At 34.7% G+C, this 16,876-nt stretch overlaps 1 protein-coding gene and 1 long non-coding RNA gene across 3 annotated transcripts in view, besides 1 other annotated feature; one reads left to right on the top strand and one right to left on the bottom strand.

The window, feature by feature from the left end:
* The window catches only part of VPS13B (vacuolar protein sorting 13 homolog B), an 864,307-nt gene that overhangs the window by 195,108 nt on the left and 652,323 nt on the right, over positions 1-16,876 (bottom strand). The window lies entirely within an intron of this gene.
* The window catches only part of LOC124901989 (uncharacterized), a 34,027-nt gene that overhangs the window by 7,127 nt on the left and 10,024 nt on the right, over positions 1-16,876 (top strand). The window lies entirely within an intron of this gene.
* Positions 12,892-14,292: an enhancer, noted in NCBI's record as "VISTA enhancer hs909". NCBI's record gives its function as "enhancer in: dorsal root ganglion[5/10] | other[8/10]" and the evidence as "EXISTENCE:transgenic organism evidence [ECO:0001131][PMID:17130149]".

Below are 16,876 nucleotides of genomic sequence, written 5' to 3'. Positions count from 1 at the left end.
ATATCTGCAAATTACTTATCTGACAAAAGACTTGTATCAAAAAAATATAAAAAAGTATTATAACTCAGCAATGAGAAAATAATCTAATTTTTAGATAGCCTAATTTTTAAATCTCAGAAGCTGGGATTACATGCATGCACCACCATGCCTGGCTAATTTTTTTGTATCTTTAGTAGAATGGGGTTTTGCCATGTTGGTTAGGTTGGTCTCAAACTCCTGGTCTCAAGCAATCCACCCGTCTTGGCCTCCCAAATTGCTGGGATTAAAGTGTGAGCCACCATGCTTGGACAGCACTAAATATTTTAGGAAAAATCTGAAGCAATCTTGGATCTCTGTCTCTCATAGTTTGTCCCAAAAGTCTCAGTGTGATTTTAAACTTTAATAACTTCAGCAGCATAAAAATGCTGCAGGCTGATTTAAAAAACATCATTTGAAAAGTTTAATTATTTAAATCTTTTATAGATTTATTTTGTTTTGTGAATTTGAACAGTGAATTTTTAATGTTAACTTTTTGTGGTGCTGGTTTCTGGACGACCCTTTCTCAGACCAGTGGATTGGTAAGGGAGTTACTTATTTGGACACTTGGTCACTTGATCTATCTTTCCTATAAGGTTATGTCAAAAGTGTTATTTATGTATCAAAATTTAATTCTTTTGATTACCTTAAATTTAGTAATTAAGGATTACAAATGCAACCTCTCAGTCACTGAGCAGCAGTTGATGAAAGTTTTTAGAACGTTTGAAAATCTAGCAGAGCTATATGTATTCCCAAACAGTTGCTATGTTAACTTATTTATTTATTTTTCAAGACAGGGTCTTGGTCTGTTGCCTAGGCTGGAGTGTGGTGGCACTATCCTAGCTCACTGCAGACTCAAACTCCTAGACTCACATGATTCTGTTAAGGTTTAATAAGAAACAAATTGCTATTTAAGACATTTAAGTAATTCACTTTTCAAATGTTTTTTGTATATTTGTTTCCATACAGGGCATACAGTGCAACCTCTGTACAAGACGTACGTTAGTAGGCCACAAAGTCCCTCACCCTGGAGGGACTGGACCACATAGAGACAGTGCTGAGCCACATTTCTTGCAAAACATATTCTGTGCAATGTGTGAACAGAGTGGCTAGGGCAGTCCCAGTTGGGCAAGTTGGAAAAGATGATAGGCCAAGAACCAAAAAAGCAGTTGAAATTAGGCTATATTGTAATACCAGGTATTCCTTTCAAAAGTACCAGGTCCACCAAAAGACAGGAGGCACGCACCAGAATGAGAACCATCACAAGTGAAACAGCACTGTTTATTGTTGTATAAAGTACATCAACATGTTTCTCTGAACTTTCACATCCTTGATCTAGCCAGTTTTTTGGTAGAAAATTAGTCTTCATTGCAAATATTTTCAGTCTGATAATGACAGGAAGATTATTTTTACAAATAGAAAAAAATATGCAAAAATAGTGTCTGGTATTTTTTAACTTAAAAAATAAAAGTAAAAATTGAGCAAGCCACATTTTGTTTTTTGATACTTTTAAAAAATTGATAAAAATATTAATCTGATCATTAAGATACAACATTAAAGAAATGGACTAGGACAGTTTTATTCAACAGAGACACAGGGGGAGCTATAAAGAATAATGTTTTACAGGAACTGGAAATATAACTGGATAGGGAACCAGGCACAGACTGTTACTATAAATTTTATTCCAATTATTATCAGATACTTATGTTTAAGAGTTTAGAATTGTGTTATAATCCTCATTGAACTTTAATAAATGGATTATTTTCAAAGTTTTGATTTTAGGAATATGCAGTAATAGAGAATCTCCCAGCTGAGTCATCTATGTCTCTGCCAGATCTAATTTCTCACCATTTTCAGAACATATTCTGTATCTTTAAGTAAACCCATGCCTGCCAATTATTAGATCCTAATTACCATTCAAAACTTTCTGAACAGCTACCAGGAAACAGAATGATGGAATGACTATTGAGTTAAAAGATTAGACAAATGCAAATAAATTATACTTATTTTATGCTCCTATCATCTTAGAGGATGACTTAATAGTGAAAGGAAAAGTATCACATTGTAATAATGAAATCAGAGAGGGAATTCAAGCCCCAGAGGTGATTCCCATAAGTTTATGTTAATGCACACCTTGTGGGGGACCAAACATCAACTGGAAAAGTTTCCTGAGAACTGTTCCAGCTCTTTTCTCATTTAAAATGTTCCAACTTTACTTGACCCATTAGTCATCATATTACTTACATTTATGATGTATTATGAAATCTATTACCAAAAACCCAATGAATTCAATATGGCTTGTTATACTCAAATCATAACATTTATGAAAGAAAACTTCTTTGTTAAGTGTTTCTTCCTGTGGAATTTTATTTGCAAAAGATAAAAAATTTTTTAGACAAGCAAGACTTACAAGAAAACATTCAGTGCATACACGGGTGGCTATGTACAGACACAGAAATGATGTTTTTATTCACCATCTTAGTAAATGCAAAACACAGAACTAACAAACCCATAATCAAGGTTGACCTTATGTATTATAATAACTCTGGTAAAAAATTATTACTAGGTCATAATATTTTTTTCTCTTATTCAGCAATTGAAATTCAGGTTTTTGTTATAGTGTTCAAGTAAAGGTATTCATGATGACAGTGGACAAGGGAGACGGAGTATTCACAGGTATAAGAGCTAGAAAACCTGGAAAGCTGTCCATGACAATGAGATTAATGTGCTTTCATTGAAGGTGTGAAGTGTAAAGACCTCAGTGATGGCAGACGTGTGCTTTAATTAATGATGGTATACAAAGTGGAACAGGCTACATGCTGTCTTATGTGCTATGAGGAAGCTCAGAGACATGAAATGAAAGGTTCTTGACCTGAATAAGTCAGCAGCAGTTCATGATACTTATCACTGGGATCTGGACATCATCACTACTAGCAAAATTACTCAGAAACGTATTTTTATGATCAAACATTGACTTTCTAAATTTCATAATCCTCCCCAAATCACAACACAAAAGTTCTAATTATAGGGTAATTGCACCAATTTCTAAAGTAAATGTACTGAACTAAACTCATCAAAATAAGTTTCCCTCCCTCTTAGTAATAACCATAAGGGATAACTATATTCCACTACTCCAACAATTTTGTATCTTTTTTGGTGCCTATGTCATCCTTTGTTTGTTTTACTATTTCAATGATGGCATATACTCATCCTTGATGACACACATGATTTTTAGAAACAGCCAAAAGTGGTTTTGAGATAAATTTAGTGAAAATGGTATTACTAATCTGCTTATGAAAAAGGAGAGATCAGCATGAATGGAAATGAAAGGGAAACTATTCCAGAAGAAAACAAGACTTAGGCTAACCTAATGGCAGCTGAGAATTAGAGTGGGCAAAGAAAAAGGGTGTAAGAATTGCAGACTAAGAAAACAGCAAGGTTTAAAACATAGAGAAGCCAGTTTATAGAGATTCTCACTGCCAATGGTGAGACAACTTGAGAATTATTAAAAATAATGAGTTCAAAATAATATCAAACAACATCAACTAACTGGCCACCATTGGAATATGCTAGAGAATGAACTCATTTTTGAAAAGGGGTAAATAAAGGGAAAGAATTAAGCATTTATCCTGCTTTTTTGAATGAGCAATACTACTGAATACTCAAATAGTAGGTTGGGGAATGCTTCTCTTCAAAGAAGTATGCCAGCTAACATATGGAAAAGGAATGCTAGAATTAGAATATTACTATTTACAACCTCCAATAAATGTAGGCATTGAGCACCAATGGGTGCTAGCATCACAAAAAGAGAGACCTTTGGACATTATATGCCTCCTGATAGAGCAATACAAAACCTCTTGCAAAACAGTTTTTCTTAAAAAAAAAAAACAGAATCAGATTAAGCCAAATAAGCAATTTATATGTAAGAAATACAGTGAACAGGTGCACAAAGGGTTGGGGGCTGAGGAGAGTTTTGACTGGATCAACTGAGGAAGGGGGTAGTTAAGATTCAAATAAATTTGGCAGGGGAGGCAAATCTAGTAAGGGCATAGAAGACAGCATTATTGAGTAAATAAGAGAATCTGAAGTTAGTGCTACCAGTAAACAGAATGAGGAAGTAATCAAGGATTAAGCCTACACCAGAGAAGTAGCAGGCATAATTGAGGACTATTTCAAAGAAAAAAGTAGAAGGACTTGAAATAAAAATAAGAATGGCCTGAAGATGGTAGTAAATTGTGAGAGGACATGACCAGAAAATTTTTCCTATCATCAGCAGTTGTAAAAAAAAGTTTGAAGACTATGATAAAGGAAGAAGTGAGCAAGGAGAGAGAAGAGAGAAAATGGCTTAATTTACTGTGAACATGTTTAAATAACAAAGTATACCTAATACCTATATGTAGAAATAGTCTTAGAGTTAGATATTAAGTCAAAAGAGCTGCATTTGGGAGTTGTTGGCATAAAAGAGACTATTGTACAGGGATAAGAAAGGAAGGCTCAAGACTGTGTCAATGGAAAGGCATGGGGCTGGAGAGTAAGGAAAAAAACTGCAGGCAGAAAGTTGGAAAGTTAGAGTTAGGATAAGCCAGAAAATGTTCTTTATCTCTTCTAACTTGGCTTACTCCATGTTCCTAGGAAGACATTTCCCAATTACTCTCACTCTTTTCTGTAGAAGAAATAATTCTAACAGAATTAGGCTAGATGAAGAAATAAAAAAAAATCTAAATGACTGCGACTCTACTGACTTCTCTGCATGAGACCTAGTACTGGCCCCCTACCTCCCTGCCAACTGCACAACCAGCCTCTATGACTCTTTGAGGTCTATTACTTAGCCAAGTAGTTCAGAGGTGTAAACCCTTGAGGGCACCATTTTCAGCTAGGTAATTTTTCTCATTTCTTCCTAAAATAAAAGTTATAGTTGAAAAACAAAAGTTGAAATAATGGAAGGCTTTTCCCTATTTTAAAATTCTTGGTCCATTCCGTAGTTGACATTCTGACATCAAGTTTACTGTTTCATTTTGATAAATCACAGAGAAAACAAACTATGATAATATAGCACTGACACTGGAAATTGGAACCCATAAAATTCAGGAAATGTAAAAGTCAAGGTCCTTACAGTTTCATTAACTAGTTTACATTTCTTAAATGTAGAAGATAGCCTGCTAGCATGGCTGTAAAATTGAATTAAGATAGAGGCAGGACTCTCATGATTAAGGTATAGGCCTTAGCCCAATTTCTGGCAAGAGAGAAGGGGCAGAGGATTAAATATGATTTAAAAATGATATTTTGGGTAAGATGAACAGAAATAAATTATTAAAATTAGCTGCTTCTTTTTTTCTTTTTTGAGATGGAGTTTCGTTCTTGTTGCCCAGGCTGAAGTGCAATGACACGATCTCGGCTCATTGCACCTTCTGCCTCCTGGGTTCAAGCGATTCTTCTGCCTTAGCCTCCCAAGTAGCTGGTATTACAGGCATGCACCATCACGTCCATTTTAGTAGAGATGGGGTTTTGCCATGTTGGCCAGGCTGGTCTTGAACTCCTGACCTCAGGTGATCCACCCACGGCAGCCTCCCAAAGTGCTGGGATTACAGGTGTGAGCCTCTGCACCCAGCCCAAAATTAGCTTCTTAAAATATTTTATTTTGCTTTGAATCTTCTTGCATTTAAAAATCATATTATGAGGGTGGAGCAAGATGGTGGAATAGGACTCTTCAGCGATCATCCCCTCATAGCAACATCATGTTGAACAACTATTCACACAAGAAAATACCTTCACAAGAGCTAAAGAAATGAGGTGAGCGATCACAGTACCTTGTTATATCATAATAATATGAAAAGATGTACTTAAGAGAGTAGGAAGGACATTCTCTGTGTCAACTCTCCCCTATCCCCAAGTAGCAAATTCAGAGAGACACCGTCTGCTTGGGGGAACTAGAAGGAAGTGAATGTAAGACTTTGTCTTGGTCTCCACCACTGGGCCTGCCATAGTAAAATCTAGCATCAGGCAGACTCTTGTAGCCCCTTATTTAGGTCAGTACCCATGTACTGAGCCTCTTGACCTGTCCCAGTGCTAGGCAGGATCCCATAGCCCCTATGAAATAGACTTGATCACTGGCCTGAATCACTACCAGCTGTCTACAAGGCCTTTGGTTTCAGACAAACCTGAATGGCCATGGGCTTTGAGTATGCCCCAGCACTGTGCCAACCTTGGTGGCCACGGGATTCCATCCTGGTGTTGGGCTGGTGTGGCAGGCCTGGGTGTAGGGTGCCCTCTAGAGCTTTGATGGCTGTGGCAATCATGGACTTAGGGACAATGCCAGACAACATGACCAAAAAGTTCTAGACAGGCTTACTGTTGAAGGGCATTCTCAGACAAAGCCAGACTGCAAAGACTGGAATAAGAACCTACTTCTTCAATATCCAGACATTGATGCATGACCACAAGAATAAAAAAAAACAAAACTAGAAACATGACATCACCAAACAAAATAGAGTGCTAGTGACCGACCCCTGAAAAATAGAGATATATGAACTGCTTGACAAGTAATTCAAAATAATTGCTTTAAGGAAACTCAATAAGCCTCAGGAAAACAGATAAACAATTCAACAACATAAGAAAAACAATAAATGACCAGAATGAGAAATTTAAGAGATTGAAAGAATAATTTGAAAAACCCCCAGAAATCCCACAGCTGAAAAATACAATGAGCTAAATGAAAGATAAAAAAGAGAATATCAACAGCAGAATTGATCAAGCAGAAGAAACAATCTATGAACTCAAAGGCAGATTATTTGAAAATATACAGGCAAAAAATACACAGTAAAGGAACGAAGAAAGCTTACAGGATTCATGGGACAGCATCAAAAGGGTAAATTCTTGGTCACTGGTATTCAAGAGAGAATAGAGATAGATAAAGGGGTAGAAAGCATATGTAAATAAAGAACAGCAGAACCCTTTCCAAACCTGGAGAAATATATAAATATTCAGGTACAAGAAGCTCAAAGGTCTTCAATCAGATTCAATCCAAATAAGATTACCCAAAGACATATTACAATCAAACTATCAAAGATCAAAGACAAAGACAGGATCCTGAAAGCAGCAAGAAGAAAGAAGCAAAGAATATAGAAGGATATTCTAATACACTGAGCAGCACACTTCTCAACAGAGAATAAATCTTACAGGCCAGAGGAGAGTGGGATGATATATTCAAAGAGCTGGAAAACAAACTAATTAACTAACCTGCAAACCAAGAATACTGTATCTAGCAAAGCTGCCCTTTAATGAAAGAGAGATAAAAACTTTCCTGGACAAACAAAAGCTGAGGGAGTTAATCACCACCAGACCTGCATTACAATAAATGCTAAGGAGTTTTTTTCAAGCTGAAAGAAAAGGATGATAATAACGCAACAACATCTGAAAGTATAAAACTCACTGGTAAAAATATACCATCAAATGCAGACTATTCTAATATTGTAATGGTGGTGTGTAAATTATATCTTTAGTGTAAAGGTTCAAAGATAAAAATATTAATGACACTAATTTGTTAAGGAATATACAATATACAAATATGTAAATTTTTAAATAACATTCAAAATGTGGAGGGAGGTAGTGGAGTATAAGAGTAGAGGTTTTTTGTGTACATGATCAAAGATAAATTGTTATTAGCTTAAAATAACCTGTTATAACTATAAGATTTTTTGATATGCCTCATGATAACCATGCAGATACACAAAAAATTAAAAAGCAAGAAATCAAAATATACCAATAGAGAAAACTTACTTAACCACAAAGAAAGACAGCGAGAGGAAGAAACAAAGAGTCCATAAGACAACCAGAAGACAATTGACAAAATGGCAGTACTTAGTCCTTACCTTTCAATAACTACCTTGAATGTAAATGGCTTACGTTCACCAATGAAAAGAAAGAGCAAATTAATAGATTATAAAAACACACCCAACTATATGCTGCTTACAAGAGACTCAATTCACTTATAAGAACACACATAGGTTAAAAGTGAAGGAATGAAAAAAGATATTCCATGCAAATGGAAACCCAAAAATAGTAAAAGTAGCTATACTTATATCATACTTTAAGTGAAAACTGTAAAAAGAGATAATGCAAGTCCTATATAATGACAAAGGCATTAGTTCAGCAAGACGGCATAACATTGTAGTATATAGGTACCTAACACTGCAGCATCTAAATATATAAAGCAAATATTACTAGATCTAAAGGGAGAGATAGACTGCAATTTAATAATAGTGGAGGACTTTAACACTTTACTTTCAGCAATGGGTAGACCATCCAGACAGAAAATTAAACAGGAAACATCAGACTTAAACTGCAATCTAGAACATTTGAACCTGACAAACATATACAGAATGTTCCATCCAAAAGCTGCAGAATTCACATTCTGCTTAATTGCACATGGAACATCCTCCAAGACAGATCACAAGTCTTAACAAATTTAAGAAGACTGCAATCATAGTAAGTATCTTTTCTGAAAACAATGGTATAAAACTAGCAACCAATAACAGGAAGAATTTCAGAAAATTCACAAGTTTATGGAAATTAAATAACATGCTCCTGAATGATCAATGAATCAATGAAGAAATTAAAAGAAAAATTTAAAAATTTCTTGAGACAAATGAAATGGTGTTTCCATATACCTAAACCTAAAGGATATAGCAAAAGCAGTTCTAAGAGGGGAATTTTCCAGCAGTAAATACCTACAGTATAAATGAAGAAAGAGCTAAAATAAACAATCTCACATTACAACACAAGGAACTAGAAAAACAAGAACAAACAAAGCCCCAAATTAGTAGAAGGAGGGAAATAAAATAAAGATCAGAGCAGAAATAAATGAAATAGAGACTACAAAAATAATAGAAAAGATCAGAGAAACAAAGAACCAGTCTTTTGAAAAAACAGGCAAACCTTTAGCTAGACTAAGAACAAAAAAGAGAAGACTCAAATAAATAAAATCAGAGATGGAAAAGGAGACATTACAACTGATACAAAGAATCCTTAGGGAATAACATGAACAATTATATGCCAACAAATTGAATAACCTAATGGATAAATTCCGGGACACATACAATGTACCAAGAATAGATAATGAAGAAACAGAAAACCTGAACAAACCAATAATGAGTATGGAGATAGAATCAGTAATAAAAAATCTCCCATCAAAAAAATGCCCAGGGTCCAATGACTTCACCACTGAATTCTACTCAGTACTTAAATATCTAATACCACCAATTCTTCTCAAACTCTTCCAAAAAACTGAAGAGAGGGAAATATTTCCAAATTTATTCTATAAGCCAGTATTAGCCTGATATGAAAACCAGACAAAGACATGCTAAAAAAAGAAAACTTCAGGCCAATATCCAGGATGAACATAGATGTAAAAACCCTCAACAAAATAGTAGTAGACGGAATTTAAAATACATTAAAAATCTACTCGTGATCAAGCGGGTGTCATCACAGGTATGATCAACATATGCAGATCAATAAATGTGATACATCACATTAACAGAATGTAGGACAAAAACCATATGATCATTTCAACAGGTGCAGAAAAAGCATTTGACAAAATTCAAAATCCCTTCGTGATAAGAACTCTCAAAAAATTAGGTATAGAAGGAACATACCACAACACAATAAAGGCCATATGTGACAAATTCACAGGTCACATCATATTGAACAGGGAAAAGTTGAAAGCTTTTTCTCTAAAATCTAGAACCCTACAAGAATGGCCATTCTCACCACTCTTATTCCACATAGTATTGGAAATCCTAGACAAAGCAATTAGGTAAGAGAAAGAAATAAAAGGAATCCAAATAGGAAAAGGTGAATTTAAATTGTCTCCACAGATAACCTTATAACATTTAAGGTTTTCTTATATATAGAAAACCTTAAAAACTTGACCAGAAAACTGTTAGAATTAATACATTCTAAAAACTGTTAGAATTCAGTGAATTTGCGTGATTAAAAATCAGCATACAAAAACCTATAGCATTTCTATACACTAACAGAGAGCTATCTGAAGAAGAAACTAAGAAAACAATCTCATTTCATAATAGCTAAAAAAATTATTAAATACTTAGGAATACATTTAACCAAGGATGTGAAAAATCTGTACACTGAAAACTATAAAACGGTGATCAATGGAAAGATATCCTGTGTTCATGAACTGGAAGAATTAATATTATTAAAATGTCCATCCTACTCATGCTATTGATGTGCCCATGCTATTGATCTACAGATTCAATGAAACTGCTATCAAAGTATCAAAAACATTCTTCACAGAAATAGAAAAAGCAATCCTGAAATTTATGTGGAACCATAAAAGACCCTGAATAACCAAAGCAATCTTGAGCAAAAGGAACAAAGCTAGAAGCATCACACTGTCTGACTTCAAAAAATATACTATAAAACTATAACCAAAACAGTATAGTACTGGCATAAAAATAGGCACACAAACCAATGGAACAGAATAGAGAACCCAGAAAGAAATCCATGTATTAGCTAATTAGTTCTCAACAAAGGTGTCAAGAACACAAAATGGGGAAAGGATGGTCTCTTCAATAAATGCTGTTGGGAAAGCTAGCTAGCCCATGCAGAAGAATGAAAGTAGATCCTTATCTCTCACTATGTACAAAAGTCAACTAAACTTGGGGGGCTGAGGCAGGAGGATCCCTTGACACTAGGAGTTAGAGGATGCAGTGAGCCATGATCACACCACCGCACTCCAGCCTAGGTAACAGAGTGAGACTCCGTCACTCAAAAATCAAAAAACACAAACAAACAAACCCAAAAGCTTCAAAATAGATTGAAGACTTAAATGTAGTAAGACCAAAAACTACGAAACTACTAGAAGAAAACACAGGGGAAAAGCTCTATGATATTGGTCTGGACGGTGATTTTCTGGATATTATCTGAAAAGCACCAGCAACAAAAGCAAAAATAGGATTACAACAAGCTAAGAAGCTTCTGCCTAGCAAAGAAAACAACCAATAGTATGAAGAGATAACCTACAGAATGGGAGAAAATATCTGTAAACTATATAAGAGGTTAATGTCTAAAATATATGAGAAATTCAAACAACACAATAGCAAGAAGACAAAGAACCAAATTTTAAAAATAGGAAAAAGACCTAAATAGACATTTCTCAAAAGAGGACATACAAATGGCCAACAGGTATATGAAAAAGGGCTCAATATAACTAACCATCAGAGAAATACAAATCAAAATCATGAAAGACCACATCATTCCTGCTAGAATGGCTATTATCAAAAAGACAAAACATAACAAGTGTTGGCAAGGATGTGGAGAAAAGGAAATCCTTGCACATTGTTGGTGGGAATATAGATTGGTACAGCCATTATGGAAAACAATATGGAGATTCCTCAATCAATTAAAAATATAACTACCATATGATCCAGTAATCCCACTAATGGGTATAGATCCAAAGGAAATGAAACCAGTGTGCCGAAGAGATATATTTGCACTCCTATGTTTACTGCAGCACAATTCATAATAGTCAAGATGTAGAATCAACCTAAGTATTCATCAGTGGATGAACAGAGGATGAAAATGTGGTAGATATTTACAATAGAATAGCATTCACTCCTTAAAAAGATTGAAATCCTGCCGTTTGAGACAACATGGATGAACTTGAAGATATTATGCTAAATGAAATAAACCAAACAGAAATAGACAAAAACTGCATGATTTCACTTATATATGGAACGTAAAAATGTCAAACTTATAAAAGGAGACATTAGAATGTTTGTTGCCAGGGGCTAGGGGAAGGGACAATATGGAGAGGTTGGTGAATGGGTACAAAGTTTCAGTTTTGCAGGATGTATAAGCTCTGGAGATCTAATCTACAGCATTATGACTAAAATTAATAAATACTACTGTATTATATACTTACAACTTGGTAAAAGAGGAGATCTTATGGGTTCTCACCACAAATAAAAAGTTGTAACTATGTGAGGTGATAAATATATTAATTAGCTTGAATATGGTAACCATTTCTCAATGACACATTTATCAAAACACCACACTGTACACCTTAAATGTTTGTAATTTTTGTCAATTATACCTCAATAAAGCTTGAAATAGGTAACCAAAAATCCATTTGAAATTTGCAATTGAAAAAAATTTTAAAGATTAAAAAATCACATTATTTATTCCTCATTTTCTACTCCAGAAAAATCGAGACACTATTTGATTAATCTTTTCCAGGTATCTCAATCCTCCTGAATCAGTTACCTTCAGATATGTCTGAGTTAATCCCCACTGAGTAATAAATTCAGTAATAACATAAAAGCAGGGTTAACCAAGAAAGGCAAAAGCACTCAAAAAATACATCTATTTGGGGGTAAACAACTTAAAATTTCTACTTTATATTCATATAAACAAACCTATTTGAATGCTGTGTTACTGTACCTAAGAACTCTTTTACTATTTTATAGCATTTAAGTACAAATATTCATTCAAATCAGAAAGGTTTGTGGAAATGCAATCATTTAAGGATGTTTAGGAATTATTTTAAAGTAGAAATGAAAATCATTGTAACCTATAAAATAGTTACATTAATCCATACAATATAAGGAGAAAACTGTATTCAAAACAGGATTATAACCAGTTCAAGTCAACAGATTCTTAAAATCAAAATCAAATAAAACCAGAGATGAAACCAATCAGAAGCCAGAATGAAATCAGAAACACTGACAACTAGACAGGTAAATTAATGAATGAGTTAAACAGGGTGAGACTAAAGAAGTGATTCTATTAGGAGAAAAAGACCAGTGGCCATGCATTTCAAATATAGACACCATATATACTACACTAAAAGAAATGTGAAATTGCATTCATTGTCTTGTGTTTGATATAACCATGTTATTTAAATTATATGATGAATGTGACATGCTAAGCATTAATTTATAATAAAACATAAATGACTTGGGAATGTTTTCCCAATGTGGCATTTTTGTTCTTTGTTGTCATTTAAATGTCATTTCATGGCTACAATGACAGTGGCTCAAAAATTCGTGAAAGAACAATGAAAAAAATACCAGAGAGCTCAAATGTTTTTGCAAATAACCCTGAGTTAATTAGAAAAATCTGCACCATTTCCAGTTCTTCTTCTCATGTGTCAGCTCTCATTAAATTAAAAAAAAATTGCATTTCAAAGTTAAGGAATCCTATGGTTAAAAAAACTTTTAAAATGGGATCAAGTGGGCACATTCCTACATTTCTGTATGATGTCATACCAAACACTTCACAGATGAATTTGAATTTGCAAGAAGTATGATTGATTTTTCAATATAAGACGTATCTGATCTAATGCTAATTTTTTTCTATAGGCTAACTGTGCTGGGAACAGGTGGCCCTGCTTTCAATTATGGAGGGCTAGCATGCCAGTGTGAGGCCTGGATTAGTTCACCTTCTCACGGGGAATTTTCCTTGGTTGGGAATGGATTTATTATGGCTTCACACATGGAATAGAGCTCATGTCAGCTGAGGGCAGTGACACATCATATGATTCAAATTAACCTGCTGTGGACTGTTCCGCAGGGTTTAGATTGTGTATTAAAATGACGACATTTTAAAAACAGCTTGAAAGAAACCAGGATTGCCGAACTGCAATGGTTCCAATTTGTTCCAACTAATCTATCACCTGCTGGAGATATTATTCTAGTGGGTTTCTGGTAGCTGCTGTTTTCCAGGTTTCTCCAAGCCACTGACCTTGCTAATGGGTACAAGGGGAAAAGGTGGGGGGTTGGGAGAGCTTTGAAAGAGTTTTTGATGTAGAAGTTGGGACCTACCATTTGCTCTATTAAGGTACCATTAGGTGAACAGAAGAAATAGGGGAATACTCAAGAACTCTACATTATTTTTCTAAAAACAAATGCTAAAGAGCAGCATTTGTATCACCTTGTTTAGAGAAAATAATCCCTGCAAAATACATCTAAAAGGCTAAATTTCAAAAGCTGTGAAGTTTACATCTTTTTGAAGAAAGCTTAAGGTTAGGCAGTTATAATCAGTATTCCCTCTACCTTTAAGGGTTGCAACTTTTTTTTTTTTTTTTTGAGACAGGGTCTTACTCTGTTGCCCAAACTGGAGTGCAGTAGCATGATCATAGCTCACTTCAGCCTTGACCTCATGGGCTCAAGCAATCCTCCCACCTCGGCTCTCTGAGTAGCAAGGACTACAGGCACATATCACCATGCCTGGTTAATTCAGGGTCATAACTTTCATTGTTACTATACCCTTCATTAAAGAACAAGAAAAAAAATAGGTGGAAATTACTAATATAGTTCAAGACATTCTCTGGAATGATACTTAAATAGGTATGCATACAGATTAAAACATAATAATAGCTAAAGATTTCTAATGATAACACAATGTCATTACCTAAAAACAAAAAGTATTACTTGTAGTGCTTTTATTATTTTTTTGTAATGCTTTTTCTTCAAGGAAAGGGAATGTTATTGGGAACATTATAAAGCTGAAATTTGTTTGCCCAATCTCAACATAAATGACATTCCTCTTAGTATCCTATTCCCTAAGAGCTGGAAAAAATAAAATTTCCTTGAGTTGCCAAAATCTATAAAATAATACATTCGTATGGTAAAAGCTGTTTTAATGTGTCCTGTTATTCCCATTTAATTAGTGGTATGCAAGTCTCACTATCTTCTATAGCCATTTGATTCCTAAATTAATGTAGTAGCATGCCAATCTGGCTGTGTAGTGAGACAATATAATTACTCTATGAAATAACATCTACTTATCTACTCTAAATCACAAATTGCTTACAGTAGGAAAATTTTTGTCTAAGCTAGTAAATTCTGGAACAGTTACAGGCTGTTAGGTTAGTGTTTTAGAAGAAGTCACACACAGCTGATATATCATTTAAACTAATCTTCTCTCAAATAAAAAAAGTACTTTTGTTTAAAATGTTTTAGACTTTGAAGAACTTAAATCATTCATTGGATATTATATTTGATTTTCCATAATCAAAGCACCATTCTAAAAACCATTCATCTTTCTTTATCATTACCCTGTCCTGTTCCCCAAAATATCTGTGGTTTGGCTCTCAAAGACTGTGACTGATACTAAAAACAAAAATCATATATGATAAGTCATGTATAATTTTTTAAAAAGAAGTTTGATAAGAGCCATATAAAACTTGCTACAAAAAGTACAGTCCCAGACCAACAGCATCTACTTCATCTGGGAGCTTTTTAGACATGACTTTCAAGCCCTACCTTCTAGAACTATTAAATCACCATTTGCATTTTAACAAACTCCCCAGGGAAGCTTCAAATGCAAAATCAAGTTTGAGAAGTGCTGCTGTAAAATAACTATTTCAATTCATTTACTTAAAAGTTTAAATCTCTAAATATATTATCACTATTACAGCATGGACATAAAATCAGAAATTATATATATTTAATTCCTAACTTTGAAAAGTATCTTAAGAAACACAAAAGTACAGCTCCTGTAAAAAGTACATTTCTGGGCTGAGACGATGGGGTTTTCTAGATATACAATCATGTCATCTGCAAACAGGGACAATTTGACTTCCTCTTTTCCTAATTGAATACCCTTTATTTCCTTCTCCTGCCTGATTGCCCTGGCCAGAACTTCCAACACTATGTTGAATAGGAGTGGTAAGAGGGGGCATCCGTGTCTTGTGTCCGTTTTCAAAGGGAATGCTTCCAGTTTTTGCCCATTCAGTATGATATTGGCTGTGGATTTATCATAGATAGCTCTTATTATTTTGAGATATGACCCATCAATACCTAATTTATTGAGAGTTTTTAGCATGAAGGGTTGTTGAATTTTGTCAAAGGCCTTTTCTGCATCTATTGAGATAATCATGTGGTTTTTGTCTTTGGTTCTGTTTATATGCTGGATAACATTTATTGATTTGTGTATGTTGAACCAACCTTGCATCCCAGGGATGAAGCCCACTTGATCATGGTGGATAAGCTTTTTGATGTGCTGCTGGATTCGGTTTGCCAGTATTTTATTGAGGATTTTTGCATCGATGTTCATCAAGGATATTGGTGTAAAATTCTCTCTTTTGGTTGTGTCTCTGCCAGGCTTTGGTATCAGGATGATGCTGGCCTCATAAAATGAGTTACGGAGGATTCCCTGTTTTTCTACTGATTGGAATAGTTTCAGAAGGAATGGTACCAGCTCCTCCTTGTACCTCTGGTAGAATTCGGCTGTGAATCTCCTCAAGCTGATAAGCAACTTCAGCAAAGTTTCAGGATACAAAATCAATGTGCAAAAATCACAAGCATTCTTATACACCAATAACAGACAGCCAAATCATGAGTGAACTCCCATTCACAATTGCTTCAAAGAGAATAAAATACCTAGGAATCCAACTTAAAGGGATGTGAAGGACCTCTTCAAGGAGAACTACAAACCACTGCTCAATGAAATAAAAGAGGATACAAACAAATGGAAGAACATTCCATGCTCATGGGTAGGAAGAATCAATATCGTGAAAATGGCCATACTGCCCAAGGTAATTTATAGATTTAATGCCATCCCCATCAAGCTACCAATGACTTTCCTCACAGAATTGGAAAAAACTACTTTAAAGTTCATATGGAACCAAAAAAGAGCCCGCATCGCCAAGTCAATCCTAAGCCAAAAGAACGAAGCTGGAGGCATCACGCTACCTGACTTCAAACTATACTACAAGGCTATAGTAACCAAAACAGCATGGTACTGGTACCAAAACAGAGCTATAGACCAATGGAACAGAACAGAGCCCTCAGAAATAATGCTGCATATCTACAACTATCTGATCTTTGAAAAACCTGACAAA

This window comes from Homo sapiens, chromosome 8 (assembly GCF_000001405.40).
Source record: "Homo sapiens chromosome 8, GRCh38.p14 Primary Assembly".
Taxonomy (NCBI): Eukaryota; Metazoa; Chordata; class Mammalia; order Primates; family Hominidae; genus Homo; species Homo sapiens.
The sequence above is the reverse complement of the archived record's forward strand: the minus strand, read 5'-3'. Positions and strand labels throughout refer to the sequence as shown.